Below are 17,546 nucleotides of genomic sequence, written 5' to 3' on the forward strand. Positions count from 1 at the left end.
GTTACAAGAGGACAAATATTGTACGAGTCTACTTATATGAGATATCTAGAGAAATCAAAATCATGGAAACAGAAAGTAGAATGCCAGTTATCAGAAGCTGGGAAAGGAGAAATGAGGAATACTTGTTTAATGTGGCATAGAATTTCAATTCTGCAAGATGAAAAAGTTCTAGATATATGTTATATAACAATGTGAATATTGTTAACACTACTGAACTGTACACTTAAAAATGAGTAAGAGGAAAAATTTTTTCACCAATTATTAATAAAAATTTTTTAAAACAGTTAAGAGACAGCACCAAATACAATGTATGACTTAGTTTCTGACTCTAAGAAACAAACATAAGATTTTGTGACAATGTAGAAAATCTGAATGTTGACTAGATGCTTAATATTAAAAAACTAACTTTTTAAAGTATGATAACACTATTCTGAATGACCTTCCAGCTAATAAAAGCAGAAGAAATGATCCCCGTAACTCCTATAAAAGTAATGGATCTAGGAAGGGACCATGGAAGACTGCTAAAATTTGAGGTGAAAAGCTGACTGCGCTCTTTGATGATTTTTAAGTTTAAAAATCTTTATCCGGGACTGGGCACAGTGGCTCACTCCTGTAATGCCAGCACTTTGGGAAGCCAAGGCAGGAGGATTGCTTGAGGCCAGGAGTTTGAGACCAGCCTGGGCAACATAGTGAGACCCCATCTCTACAAGAAAATTTTTTAATCAGCCAGATGTAGTGGTGCGTGCCTGCAGCCTCAGCTACCAGGGAGGCTGAGGTGAATCACTTTGAGTCTGGGAGGTTGAGGCTATAGTGAGTTGTAATCACACCACTACACTCTAGCCTGCATGGGCAACAGAATGAGACTCTGTCTCCAGAAAAGAAAAAAAGAATCTTTATTCTGTAGAGATACATATTGAAGTATTTACAGATAAAATAATTTGATAGCTGGGATTTGCTCAAGTAATCCAGGACATTATTTTACTTCTGTCTCAGTGCAACGTCTGGGGGTGAAGAATTCTTTAGTTGACAGTTTCCTTAAACGATTCTCCACTGTCTTCTGGCTTGTATTGTTTACAACGAGAACTGTGATGTCATCCTTATCTCTGTTCCTCTGCAGGTAACATGTCTTTACTCTGGGCGTTTTTAAGAGTTTCCTTTTAAGTTTGGGTTTGAGCAGTTTGGCTATGATATGCCATGACGTAGTTTTCTTCATCTTTCTTGTGATGGGGATTCACTTAGTTCCTTCAATCAGTGGATTTACAGTTCTTCATTATAAAAGGTTTTCGGCCATTACTTCTTTAAATATTTTTTCTCTTCCACCCTCTCTTTTCCTTTACGGACTCCAATTGCCTGTATTTAGCTTTCTTGAAGTTGTCCCATAACTCGCTTGTGGGTTTTTTTGCGTGCGTGTGTGTGTGTGTGTGTGTGTGTGTGTCAGGGCAGGGCGGGGGTGGGTTATTTTACCTCTTTTTCATTCTTGATGGTTTCTATTCCTATGCCCAGAGTTCACTAATCTTTTCTTCTGCAATTTTTAATTTGCAATCAATCCCATTTGGGAATTTCTCATCTTGGACATCACAGTTTTTATCTCCAGGAGTTCAAATTGAGTCTTTTTATACCTTTTTACTTTGTTTGTTTTTTTTTGTTTGTTTTTTTTTTAAGAGGGTCTCACTCTGTCACTCAGGCTGGAGCACAGTGGCACAGTCATAGCTCAATGAAGCCTCAAACTCCTGGGCTCAAGCCATCCTCCCACCTCAACCTTGGGACTTAGGACTATAGCGTGCGCCACTAAGCCTGGCTAAGTTTTTTATTTATTTATCTTTTGGTAGACTCGTTATGTTGCTCCTGGGCTCAAGCGATCCTCCCACCTCAGCCTCCCAAAGCACTGGGATTATAGGTGTGAACCACCATGCCTGGCAGAGTCTTTTTTTATCTTCCATGTCTCTAACTTTTTGAACACATGGAATATGGTATGGTTATAATAACCATTTATATTTTATTACCTGATAACTCTAACATCTTTATCAGTCGAGTCAGTTTCAACTGATCATTCTCCCCATTACAGTTGTGTTTTCCTGCTTTTTTGTATACGTCACAATCTTTGGATGCCAGACAATGTCAATTTTACCTCGTGTACTGGATATTTTCGTATTCCTATAAACATTCTTGAGCTCCATTTCGGTATACAGCTAAGTTATATGGAAACTGTTTGATCCTTTTGGACCTTGTTTTCATTTGTCAGGTTAAGTATGGAGCAGTACTAAGTATACAGCTCATTAATCTCCACTACTGAGGCAAGGCTCTCCTGAATACTCTACCTAATCCCTCATGAATTATGAGTTTCTCCAGTCCAGCTAGAGGGATAGGCACTGTTTCCAGCCCTGTGTAAGTACCAGGCACTGTTCCGTCTAATCCTTTAAAATGATATTTTCTCTAACCTTGGGTAGTTTCCTCAAACACATGTGCTAATCAGCATTCTGCTGAATATCTGAGGAAAGCCTTTGAAGATTTTCAGGCTTCACTCAATATACAGGTCTCTCTTCTTTGATATTCCATCCTACGAAACTCTATTTGCCTGGTCTTCACAGACTCTGAGCTCTGCCTCAAGGCAGCGAGGCTGTGGGCTCTGCCTTAGCGCCTCTTTCTATGTTTACAACTAGAAAGCTGAGATAATCACAGGATTTATCTCATTTGTTTCCCATCTTTAGAGATCACTATCTTCCACTGCCTAATGCCTAGTGTCTTGAACTGCTGTTTTCATGTATTTTATCTGTTTATTCCTGGTTCCTTCAGGTAGGAAGGTAAATCCTGGTCCTAATACTCCATTTTGGCCAGAAGCAGAAGTCTTTATAACCTTTTCTGATACTCAAAATACCCTATTTTTACCCAATGGGAGCTAGGAGCTAGTTCAAGTTGGCTCTGAGTCTTTTCAACAAAACTCCAGTGATCTCAGAAAACTTCTTTGCTTTATAAAATATTCCCTATCTTTAACCAAGAACCAGTTATTTTTGCAAGGAACCTGGTTCCTTTGAGAAAAAATTCTAAATACCTCAGAATGCCAGTGCTCACTGCAAAAAGGTAATTTGCTATTTCTAGGCCTTCTCAGGACAGAGCTGGTGTTTTGTTTTATTAAAGAAAATATATCATAAATTCCCAGTGATATTACCAATTCAAACTTACTTAACTTCTTTAATTTTCTTATTTACTTATTTTCTTAAACTAAAAGTATCAGGTTTCTAATATTAATATAAATATGAATTTCCTTTATTCATATACAAATGTATATATAGTTTCATAACTACCAATTTTATATGATTACCAAAAGCAAGTGAAGATTCATTTATACTTCTTTTTTGTCCTTAAGATATAAACTAGCAGAGGAAATTAGTCAAATTACCACAGTTTAAAGGTATACTAAAATAATTCTTCTCTGTGTGGCTTAGCCACAAGCATGACAAACCAGGTCACTTGTTTCCTTCTTTTTGAGGATTTCTTCTCTCATTTTAATTTTGTTTTACAGTTATTTAAAACATTTACACGATTCCAAAATCATACCCAGTCACTAACATTACATCTATTGGTATTGCAGTTTATACGCACAGGCAGTTTGGTACAGCGGGATGCTGTTAGTGATCTTTAAGTACTACAGGTCATGAAAAACACGACTGCTCGTCCAATATTTGACTTAGAACAGCAAAGCTATGTCAACAGTATTCAAAACTGCTAGAAAAAAAATTAGCAACAGAAAATATTTTTAAAATGTACAACCACTTTCAAGATATGTTAAATGTTATTAATGCAGTGATAAAAACTGTAGCGGCCGTTGGTTAAACAGGTGAAATCAAAGGGCAAACTGACAAACATGCAACTAATACTACTAGCCAAAAGAAGCACAAACACTGGTTTGATAAAAGTGGAAGAATGAGATTAACACATTAAATTTGTCAAAGACAATTTATAATGCAGTAAAAGGTTGGAAAACATGCAAGTTATGCAACTACTCAAGCGAAAACGTCTCAGCATGATGGACAACTGTGAAAATCTTTAAAATGACATTAAATGAAATAATCCCAAAAAGGTAATAGAGGTCATACAGAATAAGAGATGTACCACGGTATCTAAATAGCTATAATCAATATCATTTAATCGTTAGTTATAAGAGGTGAGCTAAGCATGCAAAGCAATGCTTTGACCATCACATTTTTTTTTTTTTTTTTTTTTTTTTTTTTGAGACGGAGTTTCGCTCTGTCGCCCAGGCTGGAGTGCAGTGGCGCGATCTCGACTCACTGCAAGCTCCGCCTCCCGGGTTCACGCCATTCTCCTGCCTCAGCCTCCCGTGTAGCTGGGACTACAGGCGCGCGCCACCATGCCCGGCTAATTTTTGTATTTTTAGTAGAGACGGGGTTTCACCGTGTTAGCCAGGATGGTCTCGATCTCCTGACCTCGTGATCCGCCCGTCTCGGCCTCCCAAAGTGCTGGGATTACAGGCGTGAGCCACCGTGCCCGGCCCGACCATCACATTTTAACTATGCTTTCTTTCCAATCCTGCTCTGCAAAACAAACACAAGATTTGTGTCACAGCGTGCCAGTACAACTTTTATCAGGTGGACCTAATGCTGCACAATCCTGTAGAAAGAACACTAATTCAGATGTGAGAAGATCTTGGTTCTACTTATCTGCTATGTAATCTTGGCCAAATCATTCAAACTCAAAATTTTGGTATAAAATAGAAACATGGTTTGTATCTGCACTGTCCTACAGAAATATAATGAAAGCCACAAATGAAATTTTAAAAATTTCTAGCAGCCATTTGAAAAAGGAAATAAAAGATAAAATTAATTTTAATATTTTATTTAACCCATGTCTAGAATATTTCAGTATAAAAATTGAGATTTCATTATTTTTTCATATGGAAGCTTCAACATCCAATGTAAATTTTACACTTACATGTCTCAATTTGAATTAGCCACATATTAAATGCTCAATAGCTAACTGTAGCTAGTGACTATCTCATATTGGACAGCATAGCTCAACCATTTTCAAACGTTTCATGGGGGAACAGAAGCAGCAGGAGACTCAACTCAGAGCCTCAAAGCTCCACAGAACATAATTTTAACATTGCTGGTCTAGATTATTGCAAAGGTTCTTTCCAGAGAAAAAGGCTATTATTCTTTACGGCAATGGTCATTCACACTGAACTGCTGTAACCACTTAGCTGAGCTTCGGATAAAGGACCAGTAATGCTATGAATTTATTTTCTATCCATTTCAGTGTTTTTATATACATATGCTTTATCTTGTCCATAATCAGATACTTAAAGACATTCACAATTATTGTGTAACTATAACATATCAGAAAATAATAACCTACCTCAGAGTTTGGTTGAGATGATTAGAAAGGTTAATTCATTAAGTGCTTAAAATAGTACCTGACATAACAAACACTCAACAGTTAACTGTTATCATCAATACTTCATCATTAATCCACTACACTATTCTAGAACTGTCCAGCTCTATTCACAACAGGATTAAAACATATTATAGTTTTTCTTCCCAAGGTCAATAAAATTTTCATGCCAGTTGTAAACTAATCAACATAATAATCTACCTTATACAATGAGACATACAGATTAAAAATAGTAGAATCAGGCCTTCCCATCCTTTTAGTCTCAGAAATACTACCCCACAATGATAAAAGGGACAAGAAAAAAAAAAAAACAGTATGTGTAGCTCCCAGCCATATCTACAACAATGGAAAAACAGATTGAGAAACAATATACGAGTTAGAGTGGAGGAAGATCAAACCTAAGAGCCTATGGAGGGATATACTGTTGAGAAGCAAGCCCACAAACCACAAAGAGCCTTGGAAAGCCTCAGGAATTTTTCTTAATTGAGCTGTAACGGAAAGCTGTGGTGAGGCAGCAGAACAAGGGCACGGTTTGAAAAAGAGAAAATTAAGAAAACCAGCCTGGTAAATCCAACATTTGACTTACAGGATATGAGGAAGGAAGGAGCTTCTCAATGAATTAACACAGGAAAATTCCCAAGAACATAGTCTTATACTGAAAGTGCCCTCCTTTACCCTATCACCACACTGGCTAAATTTTATATTTTTAGTAGAGACGGGATTTCACCATCTTGGCCAGGCTGGTCTCGAACTCCTGATCTCAGGTGATCTGCCCACCCCGGCCTCCCAAAGTGCTGGGATTACAGGCATGAGCCACCCCGCCCAGCCTCATTATAGTTTTAACTTTTATTTATTTGATAATTAGTGATGTCGACCCTTTTTTCATGGCCACTTGTATGTCTTCTTTTGAGAAGTATCTTTTCATGTCCTGTGCCCACGTTTTAATGGAGTTGTTTTTTTCTTGTTGTTTGAGTTCCTTGTAGATTCTGAACATTAGAACTTTGTCAGATAGTGTTAACAAATACTTTCTCCCATTCTGTAGGTTGTCTGTTAAATACATTATTGCTTTTGCTGTGCAAAAGCTTTTTAGTTTAAGTCCCATTTATCTATTTTTGGTTTTGTTTCCTTTTGAGGACTTACTCATAAATTCTTTGCTTAGACCAATGTCCAGAAGAGTTTTTCCCAGGTTTTCTTCTAGGATTTTTATAGTTTCAGGTTATACATTTAATTATTGAATCCATCTTGAGTTAATTTTTGTATATGGTAGGGGTACAGTTTCATTCTTTTGCACACAGCTCTCCAATTTTCCCAGCACTATTCATTGAATAGGGTATCCTTTCCCCAGTATATACTTTTGCCAACTTTGTCAAAGATCAGTTGGTTGACAGTATGGGGCTTTATTTCTGGACTCTCTATTCCATTCCATTGACTTATATGTCTACTTTTATACCAGTACTGTGCTGTTTTCAATTACTATAACCTTGTAGTATAATTTTACATCAGGTAATGTGATACCTCCAGCTTTATATTTTGCTTAAGATGGCTTTGGCAATTGGGGCTCTTTTTTGGTTCTGTATGAATCCTAGGATTGTTTTTTCTTATTCTGTGAAGAATGACACTGGTAATTGGACAGAAATTGCACTGAATCTGTAGATTGCTTTCGGTAGTATATAAATTTTATAATGAAGTTTAATTACATGAAATCAGTAGTCACCAAGAAGAAACAGAATAAAATGAACATCGTGTTAATCAAAGAGTGCCACTGCTACACCTTCAAATGGTGTTATGCCAAATACGATCCCTAGACTGGTGGTTATATTCAGACCTATACCTACCTGGGTTCACATGTATCATACATGTATTCCACTTAAATATATGAATATAAATATATAATCATGCTGTTAAGATTTCTGAGAATAAAAGGAAAGGAAATTCCTGTAATCCCAGCACTTTGGGAGGCTGAGGCAGGCAGATCACGAGGACAAGAGATCAAGACCATCCTGGCCAAGATGGTGAAACCCTGTCTCTACTAAAAATACAAAAATTAGCTGGGTGTGGTGGCACGCGCCTGTAGTCCCAGCTACTCAGGAGGCTGAGACAGGAGAATCGCTTGAACCTGGGAGGTGGAGGTTGCAGCGAGCCAAGATCACGCCACCATACTCCATTCCAGCCTGGCCACAGAGCGAGACTCTGCCTCAAACAAACCAAAAAAAAAAAAAGAAAAGGAAATTCACCCAAAAAACAGAACTAATTTAAAAGCTCTGTGAAAGAAAAGGATCCATTTTCAGTTCAAAAAATAAATAAGAGAAAATTAAGTGGATACATTCAAAGATGATAAAGCAGGTCAAGAACTCATAACTTAATTTGCTGCACTCAATATAAAGTCTATTACAATATTACAAAATACCTTTGCCAATAATAAAGTGCTTGATTCATACAACTCTAACAAATAAAATACTGAGGTTGTAATGTACTGTTGGACTTCACCTAAATGGATTATCTAACGCAGTGTTTCATAAAATGTGTTTTGAGAATATTTCACTATAACTGCAAAATATTTATAATAGAATATCTTATTTCTCAAGCATGAGGGTTCTAATTCATCTGCCTTTATGGAATTTCTATAGTGAGGGTCAAATGGTCCTTCAGGCTCCAAAGTCTCTCCTTAGCAAAAAAAAAAAAAAAAAAAAAGTCACTTAAGCCTTATGTCTTTTCATTTCTTTGCCGAATGTAACAGACCATTTGTCAACAGCATTTTCAAAGGAAGGCTTAAAAAAAAAAAATCAATGTTCTAAATGTCTTTATGAATAATACAGAATTAATCTGGAATAAAAAGACATATTCTGTGAATGAAATTTTACTTTAAAATGTTAGATAACAAAGAAATGTAAAGACAAACACGAAGCAAGTGTAGCAAACTGTTGACAATTACTGAATCCAAAGGACTGGTTTATGTATGAGGTTTATTCTTTCTTTTTGTGTATATTTTTACATTTCCAATTTTAAGTTTACAATGAACAGCAACACTTTAGTGGTCACTTGTGAATTAATTAACAAACATACATCAAAAAAATCTTAAAGAAGAAAGTTGCACCCTTAGAAAACTAAAATACACTAAACACAAATAGGTGAAAATATTGAATAGTGTAGTTATGCTGAGAAAATGAGAACCTGAGAGATTTCCCCATTCTTGTATACCACTTTTCAGTACCTCCTCATCCCCACTCCAAAAAAGTGTTGATTTTACAGGGGAGAAGGGGAAAACACACACACACACACACACACACACACACCCCAACTTTGCTAAAATGAAGATAGTTTCAGGCTTAAAATGGAACATTAAATTCTTTAAAAGAAATGAATAAAGGTAAAGGATTTACCTGCTCTTCTCTTTTCTGCTTTCGTAACTGCAGTCCTTCTTCCTCCCTCCTCCTGCGCATCTCATCGGGATTCAGAGATTTGTTCTTGTAACTTTTCAGGCGAAAGTTCTCTTTTCCTGGGGTGGTCATGATTTCTACAATACAAGTGGGGAGAGAACAAATGAGTTTACTGTGAAGAGCTCTGTTATTCTAAGAGCTCAGTCTTTTAAACATATACATGCCCAGACATATCCCAAAGGGACATCAGAAATGGCTACTTCCCCTCCCCCACTCCTGTCTTTTTTGAGACAAGGTCTTGCTCTGTCCACCCGGACTGGAGTACAGTGGTGCAATCATAGCTCACTGTAGCCTCAAATTCCTGGGTTCAAGCAATCCTCCCACTTCAGTTTCCTGAGTAGCTGGGACCACAGGTGCATGCCACCATGCCCAGAGAATTTTTTTATTTTTTGTAGAGACAGGGTCTGATCATGTTGCCCAGGCTGGTCTTGAACTCCTAGCTTCAAGTGATCCCCCAACCTTGGCCTCCCAAAGGGCTGGGATTTCAGGCGTGAGCCACTTCACCTGGCCAGGTTACTTTAACAGTTTTATTAAAATGTGCTATTCAACAGTTTTTAGTGTATTTACAGCTTGTACAACCTTCATCATAGTGAATTTTGGGACATTTTAATCACCTCAAAAAGAAATCCTGTATTGTTTAAGCTATCATCCCTATTCTGGACATTTCACATGAACAGAACAGAATCATATAATATGCAGTATTTTGTGACTGGCTTCTTTCACTTAGCATGTTTTCAAGGTTCATCCATGTTGTAGCATATATCAGTACTTCATTTCTTTTTATGGCTGAATAATATTCCATTCTATATATATACCCAATTCTATTTATCCATTCGCCAGCTAATGGACATTTGGAATGTTTCCACCTTTCAGCTATTATGAATAACACTTCTACAACATTTGTGGTCAAGTTTTACACAGATATGTTTTAATTTCTCTGGGTTATATATCTAAAATTGCTAGGTCATATGGTAACTATGTTTAATTGCTTAAGAAACTGCTCAACTGTTTTTCCAAAGTGGCTGTGCCATTTTATATTCCCCTCAGCAGCATATGAGGCTTGCAGTATCTCCACATCCTTGCCAGCACTTTGCTATTAAAACTTTCATTGAAACCATCCTAGTGGGTGTGAGTGGCAACTCATTGTGGTTTTGGTTTGCAATCCCCTGATGACTAATGAGATAGAGCAACTTTTCACATACGTATTTGGTAACTGTGTATCTCCCATTAAAATGAAGTCTATTCAAGTGCCTTAGCCCATTTTTAAATTAGGTTGTCCTTTTATTATTGAGTTGTAAGAGTTCTTTTTACATTCTAGATAAAGGTCCCTTATCAGATATGCTTTTCAAATATAATCTATAGACTGTCTTTTCACTTTCTTGGTGTCCTTTAAAACACAGAAGTTTTAATTTTGATGAAGTCCAAATTAATCTGTTTTTTGCTGTTGTTGTTGTTCATGCTTTTGGTGTCATATCCAAGAATCCTTAACCTTGTGTTTCTTTCCAAGAGTTTTAACTGATACATTTAAGTCTGTGATCCATTTTGAGTTAATTTTTCTTTGTAGCATGGTATGAGAGTCCAACCTCATTTTTTTGCATGTGTCTATCCAGCTGTCCCAACAATACTTGTTGAAAAGACTCCTCTTTCTCCACAGAATGGTCTTGGCACCTGCTATAGACTGAATGTGTGTCTCACCCAAAATTCATATGTTAAATCCTAACTCCCAATGTGATAGTGTTTGAAGGTGAAGCCTTTGAGAGATGATTAGCCCTTAGTGGTAGAGTCCATATGAATAGGATTAAAGCCCTTAAAAAGAGACCCCCCAAAGAGTTTGCTTGCTCCTTCAGCCATGTGAGGACACAGAGAAAAGATAAGGCATCTGTAAACAAGGAAGCAGGCTCTCACCAGACACTGAATCTGCCAGTGCCTTGATCTTGGACTTCCCAGCATCCAGAACTGTGAGAAACAAATTTCTATTGTCTGTTAGCCACCTAGTCTCTGGTATTTCATTACAGCAACCCAAACGGACCATGACAGCACCTTGCTGACAACCAGCTGACTATATACATATATATAGTTTAATTTCTTGACATTCAATTCTATTCCACTGATCTATATGTGTATCCCTGTGTCAGCCCCACACTGTCTTGGTTACCATTGCTTCAAAATAAGTTTTGAACTCGAAAAATGTCAGTCTTCTTACTTTTTTGGTTCTTTTTTCAAGATTGTTTTGGCTATAATTGATCCCTTGCAATTCCATATGAACTTTAGAATCAGTTTGTCAATTTCTATGAAGAAGTCAGCTATGATTCTGATAAGAGACTGCACTGTCTGTAGATCAGTTTGGGAAATACCGGCACCTTAATGCTAAATCTTCCACTTATTTAAGATAGGAGCTCTATTTAGATCTTAATTTCTGTCTATAATGTAATGTAGCTTTCAGAATATGTTTTATACTTTTGTTAAATTCATTCCTAAGTATTTAATTTTTATACCATTGGAAATGAAATTGTTTTAATTCTCAGACTGTTCACAAATCTAGAAAAATATAACTGATTTTTGTATACTGATCTTGTATTTTACAATCCTGCTGAACTTGTTTAATTGGTGCTAATGCTTTATTTGATACACATCATGTCGTCTACAATATAGCTTTACTTCTCCCTTTCCAATTTTGATGTCTTTTACTTCTTTTTCTTGTCTAACTTCCCTGGCTAGAGCCTCCAATACAATGTTGAATAGAAATAGAGCAGACACCCCTGTCTTATGCTAGACCTTAGAATGAAAGCAGTCTTTTACATTAAGCATGATGTTACCTTTGGATTTTCTGTAAAGGCACTTTTATCGGGCTGAGAAGTTCCCTCTTATTCCTAGTTGACTGTTTTATAATTAAAGAGTGTCAGATTCTGTCAAATGCTTTTTCTGTGTCTATTGATATCACAATGTGATTTTTTTTTCTTTTTTTTTAACAGACAAGGGACGGGTAGAGTGGCTCATGTCTGTAATTCTAGCATTTTGGGAGGTTAAGGCGGGAGTATCACTTGAAGCCAGGAGTTCAAGATCAGACTGGGCAACATGGTGAGACTCCATCTCTACAAAAAATTTAAAAAATAAAAATCAGACAGGCTGGTGGTGTGCACCTGTAGTTCCAGGTACTCAGGAGGCTGAAGCAGCAGGATGGCTTGAGTCCAGCAGTTGCAGGCTGCAGTGAGCCATGATCACACCACTGTACTCCAGCCTGGGTGACAGTGAAACCCTGTCTCTTCAAGAAAAAAAAAAAAAAAGAGACGGGTTTATATTTTCTTGTGATGTCTTTGTCTGGCTTTGGTATCAGAGTGATACCAGCTTCATAAAATGAGTTGGAAAGTATTCCCCAGGAAGATTTTGTCAAGAATTATATTATTTCTTTAAATGTTTGGTAAAATTCAGCAGTAAAGCCATATGGGCCTAGGCTGTTTCTTTGCGGGCAGTTCTGTGACTACTATTTCAGTGTCTTCACGTGTTACAGGTCTATTCAGATTGTCTGTTCCTCTTATTGAGTCAGTTTTGGTAGTTTTTGTCTTTCCAAAAATTTGTGCACTTCATCTAAACCATTTTATTTACTGGGATACAACTGTTTTTTTGTTGTTGTTGTTGTTGTTGTTTTGAGATGGAGTCTCACTCTGTTGCCCAGGCTGGAGTGCAGTGGCGTAATCTCGGCTCACTGCAACTTCTGTCTCTCAGGTTCAAGCCATTCTCCTGCCTCAGCCTCCTGAGTAGCTGGGATTATAGGCATGCACCACCACGCCTGGCTACTTTTTGTATTTTTAGTAGAGACAGCGTTTCACCATGTTGGCCAGGCTGGACTCAAACTCCTGACCTCAGAAGATCCACCCGCCTCTGCCTCCCAAAGTGCTGGGATTATAGGCATGAGCTACCATACCCAGCCACAACTGTTAACAGTATTTCTTTATAACCTTACTAATTTTTACAAGGTCACTAGTAATGTCTCCTCTTTCATTTCTAATTTTTTTTTTCCCCCAGATACTCTCTCTCTCTGTTGCCCAGGCTGGAGAGTACAGTGGCACAATCATGGCTCACTGTAGCATCAACCTCCCAGCTCAAGCAATCCTCCCACCTCAGCCTCCCAAGTATCTGGGACTACAGGTGCATGCCCAGATTATTATTATATATTGGGCTGGGGGGCTAGGGGGATAGAGATAGGGTCTCACCATGTGGGCAACTGGTCTCGAACTCCTGGGCTCAAGTGATCCTCCTGTCTTGGCCTCTCAAAGTGCTGAGATTACAAGCATATGCCACTGTGCCCAGGAAATCTGAAAAATGTTGAGTTTTTCTCAATCTAGCTAAAAGTTTGTCAATTTTATTCATCTTTAATGCTCTCTATTGTTTTCCTATTCTCTATGTCATTAATTTTCACTCTACTCTTTATTTGCTTCCTTCTGCTTGCTTTAGGTTTACTCTGCTCTTCTTAACTCAGTCACTTAAAGTGGAAAGTTAGGTTACTGATTTGAGATCTTTCTTCTTTTCTTTTCTTTCCTTTTTTTTTTTTTTTTGAGACAGAGTCTCACTCTATTGCCCAAGCTGAAGGGCAGTGGCATGATCTCGGCTCACTGCAATCTCTGCCTCCCAGGTTCAAGTGATTCTCCTGCCTCAGCCTTCCAAGTAGCTAGGGTTACAGGCGACTGCCATCACACCCAGCTAATTTTTGTATTTTTAGTAGAGTCGAGGTTTCACCATGTTGGCCAGGCTGGTCAACTCCTGACCTCAAGTGATCCACCCACCTCCGCGTCCTGAAGTGCTGGGATTACAGGTGTAAGCCACCACGCCCAGCATCCTTTCTTCTTTAACAAAGGCATTCACAACTAAGTTTCCCTTTAAGCACTGCTTTAGCTGTATCCCTAAGTATTCCTACACGATGTCTTCATTTTCATTTATCCCAAAGTGTTTTCTGATTTCCTTTTTGATTTCTTCATGGACCCATCAGTTATTTAGGAGTATGTTCTTTAACTTACACATATTGGTGAGTTTCTCAAATTTCCTCCTGTTACTGATCTAATTTCTTTCCATTGTGATCAAAGAACAGGATCCTTTTAAAATTTATCTAGCTTGTTTTGTAGCCCAGCAAAATGCACACATAACACTTGCTATCCTGGAAAACACATATTTCCAGGATATACATATTTCTATTTGAAAATACATATTTTTGACTGCTGCTGGCTGGTAGTGTGGTCTATACATGTCAGTTAGGTCTAGTGGGTTTATTGTACTGATTCCTTCTTGACCTTCCACCAAGTTGTTCTGTCCTCTACTGAAAGTGGGGTACTAAAGCCTCCAACTCTTATTACTGAATTCTCTGTTTCTGTCAGTTTTTGCTTCTCTCATTCATTTACTGCATATATCCTAGGACCATTTCCAGAGGCTTTCCATGGTTGTTTTTGAAATACTTTACCCTAAGTTTACTGGGTAGTGGGTCAGCAGAGCTCCTTATTATGCTAAAAGCTGCATAAATAATTACATATACGAACATGATTTTGATGCAAACCTGGGTTGAGAATCACTAATTTATAACATGCTACCACATCTTCTATTTTATTTGGATCTCTTAACAAACCTTTATGGCAAAAAATATCATTCTCACCTTTTACAGATAAGGAATCAGAAGGCTCACAGAGTGACTTGGCCAGGGTTACACACTAAATACAAGATAGAGCTAGGATATGAACACAGGTCTCATTATACACCCAGTGATCTACTGAGAGAGACTGAATTGTGCCGTCCCCTCAAAACTCTTATGTTGACACCCTAACCACCAGTGTGACTTGTATTTTGTTATAGTGCCTTTTAGGAGGCAGAGTTAAATGAGGTCATGAGGGTCCCACCCTGATAAGACTGGTGTCGTTATAACAGAATGAGACACTAGAGACTTCTCTGAGAGATACAGAGAAAGGCTACATAAGAAGACAAGAATGCAGCTGTCTGCAAGCAAAAGAGTGCCCAGAAATCAACTCTGCTGGCACCTTGATCTGGAATTCTAGCCTTCAGAACTGTGAGAAAATAAATTTCTGCTTAAGCCACACAGTCTGCAGTATTTTGTTATGGTAGCCTGAGCAGATTAATATGTCTACTCAGTGGAAATCTGGCAGAAACTTTATCAGACTAAAAGGTGGGTGTAATACGGATGAGAACTTGTGAATAATTCCAAGGGAATCATATTTAAAGGTGATGAAAAATGATATAAAGAAGAGTGCTGGTTTCCTGAAGCAGGCAGCATTTTAGCTATGAAATATCACAATATGGCACAATAATAGTAGTGTTGCAATGATGTCCCAAATTCAAAATCTGAGTGGGACGCGGTAGTTCACGCCTGTATTCCCAGCACTTTGGGAGGCCAAGGTGGGAGGATCACTTGAGCCGAGTTTTGTAGCGACCCTGTCTCCACAAAAAATACAAAAAAATTAGACAGGCATGGTGGCAGGCACCTGTGGTCCCAGCTACTTGGGAGGCTGAGATGGGAGCATCACTTGAGCCTGGGAGGTCAAGGCTGCAGTGAGCCAAGATCGCACCACTGAGCAAAATCCCATCTCAAAACAAAAAAAAAGATTCGTTAAGTTTCAGTTTCAGGTCAAAAAAAGGAAAAAGCCAACAGTAAACTCCAACAAAACCAAAAACCTAAAATTAGACTTAAGGAAGTAACTTAGAGGTCTGTATTCAATGTGGAGTTGTAAGGGTAAGCAATTAAAGCCAGTGTTGGAAGCATGCATACATATATATATATATAAAGAAAGAAAGAATAAATGATAAATAAGGCAAAAGATAAACAATTGAGAAATGTCAATGAAGGCATATAGGAAGTCTCGTGCACTTCTTAAAACGTTTTTGTAGTTTGAAATGATTCCAAACTTTTTAAAAAATCTAAAAGGAAAGAAATGTTACGCAAAAATTAAATATTCAACTGCTTTTTTATTAAAGTGTCATAGGCAGCAAGTTGAATAAATGAAGCCTAGCCTTCCACAAGTCCCATGTTCAAATTTGCTTTGCAGACCAATCACATACAGAAGACAGTAGACTTCTGTGAGCCTGTTTCCTCATCTGTACAATGGACATAATGATACCTCATAAGGTGAAGAACATGTAAAAGCATACTTCCCACTGTCTGGCCCTTGTATAGTTTATACTTGGGAGTTACTGAAATGGTCATTATTTTTTCTCTTTTGAACTATTAAATATGGTGAATTATATTAATAGACTTTCTAATACCAAATGATCCTGTTTCTTTGGATAAACACACTTGGTGATGGTGTGTATTACCCCTTTCCAATTCTATTTGTTATATTTGTCACACTGAGAGCTGTTTGAAAAAAAACACGGGTATGATTCCAATTATATGACATTCTGGAAGAGGTAAAACCAGAAACAAACAAACAAAAAACCCAGTGGCTGCTGGGTGTTTTGGGGGAAGGCAGGATTAACAGGTGGAACACAGAAGAATTCTAGGGCAGGAAAACTATTCTGTATGATACAATAGTAGTTAATGCATGCTATTACACATTTGTCAAAACCCAAAGAATGTACAACACTAAGAATGAACCATAATGTAAACCATGGACTTAGAGTGAGGATGATGTGCCAATGTTGGTTCATCAATTGTTTTAGCTTGATCAGGCTACTGTAACAAAACACCATCAACTGGGTGTCTTATAAACAATAGAAATTTATTTCTCACAGTTCTAGAGGCTGGAAAGTCCAAATCAAGACCCTGGCTAATTCAGTATCTGGTGAGGACCCACCTCCTGGTTCACAGATGACCATTTTTTTCACTGTGTATTCACATAGCAGAAGGGGCTAAGGAGCTCTCTGTGATCTCGTGTAAGGGCACTAATTCCATTCATGAGGGCTCCATTTTCATCACCCAAAGGCCTCATCTTCAAACACCACCATACTGGAGATTGGGTTCAACACATGAATCGTAAGGGGACATAAACATTCAGTCTACAGCATTACTTGTAACAAATGAGCCATTCTGGAGCTTGTGCAATGTTGATGGTGGGAGAGTCTATATTCATGTGGGGGCAAGGGGTTGACGGAAACCCTGTACTTTCCATTCAATTTTGCTATGAACCCAAAACTGCTCTAAGAAACTGTCTGTGTGTGTGTGCGTGTGTCTGCGCACACGCATGTATGTGTGTATTTAGACTTCCCACCCCAAGAGGGGACAACCAATCTCATTTATGGATACTGGTGAGATTTTTAAGTTTCACTCCTTTCACTCTATTACTTCAATGGATGCATTTAGACTTTGGGTGAGAGAGAGAGAGAGATTTTTTAAAACATAAATATCTCATCAGTATCCATAAATGAGATTCGTTGCCCCCTCTTAGGATGGAGAGGGGATTACATTTGTTCTGTTGGGAGAGACTCTTTTTTTTTTTAAACACAAGCCTCAAATGTCCCTCTAAAGAGTCTAATTAATGTGTCTGAAGCAGACAGACACCTCTGGGTTTTTCTTCCTTTTAAGATCCCCAAGTGGGCCAGGCACAGTGGCTCACACCAGTAATCCCATCACTTTGGGAGGCCAAGGGGCGGGCAGATCACTTGAGGTCAGGAGTTCGAGACCAGCCTGGCCAACATGGTGAAACCCCGCCTCTACTAAAAATACAAAAATTAGCCAGCATAGTGGCATGCACCTGTGAGTCCAGGTACTTG

General features: G+C 38.1%; 1 protein-coding gene across 4 annotated transcripts in view, besides 1 other annotated feature; it reads right to left on the minus strand.

Moving 5' to 3' along the window:
* The window catches only part of KPNA1 (karyopherin subunit alpha 1), a 93,038-nt gene that overhangs the window by 65,749 nt on the left and 9,743 nt on the right, over positions 1 to 17,546 (minus strand). For all 4 annotated transcript variants that reach the window (NR_026698.2, XM_005247437.5, XM_024453514.2 and 1 more), the window contains exon 2: positions 8,787 to 8,920. Coding sequence is in view for 3 of the 4 variants with exons in the window: in XM_005247437.5 (XP_005247494.1) it covers positions 8,787 to 8,915 (129 nt within the window). In the remaining variant the exon portion in view is untranslated. The remainder of the gene's footprint in view (positions 1 to 8,786; positions 8,921 to 17,546) is intronic.
* Positions 8,511 to 9,710: an enhancer, noted in NCBI's record as "MED14-independent group 3 enhancer chr3:122215008-122216207 (GRCh37/hg19 assembly coordinates)". NCBI's record gives its function as "activates an origin of replication core promoter dependent on BRD2, BRD4, P300/CBP and CDK7 cofactors, and independent of MED14, by STARR-seq in HCT116 cells {active_cell/tissue: HCT116}" and the evidence as "EXISTENCE:reporter gene assay evidence [ECO:0000049][PMID:35650434]".

This window comes from Homo sapiens, chromosome 3 (genome assembly GCF_000001405.40).
Source record: "Homo sapiens chromosome 3, GRCh38.p14 Primary Assembly".
Lineage (NCBI taxonomy): Eukaryota > Metazoa > Chordata > Mammalia > Primates > Hominidae > Homo > Homo sapiens.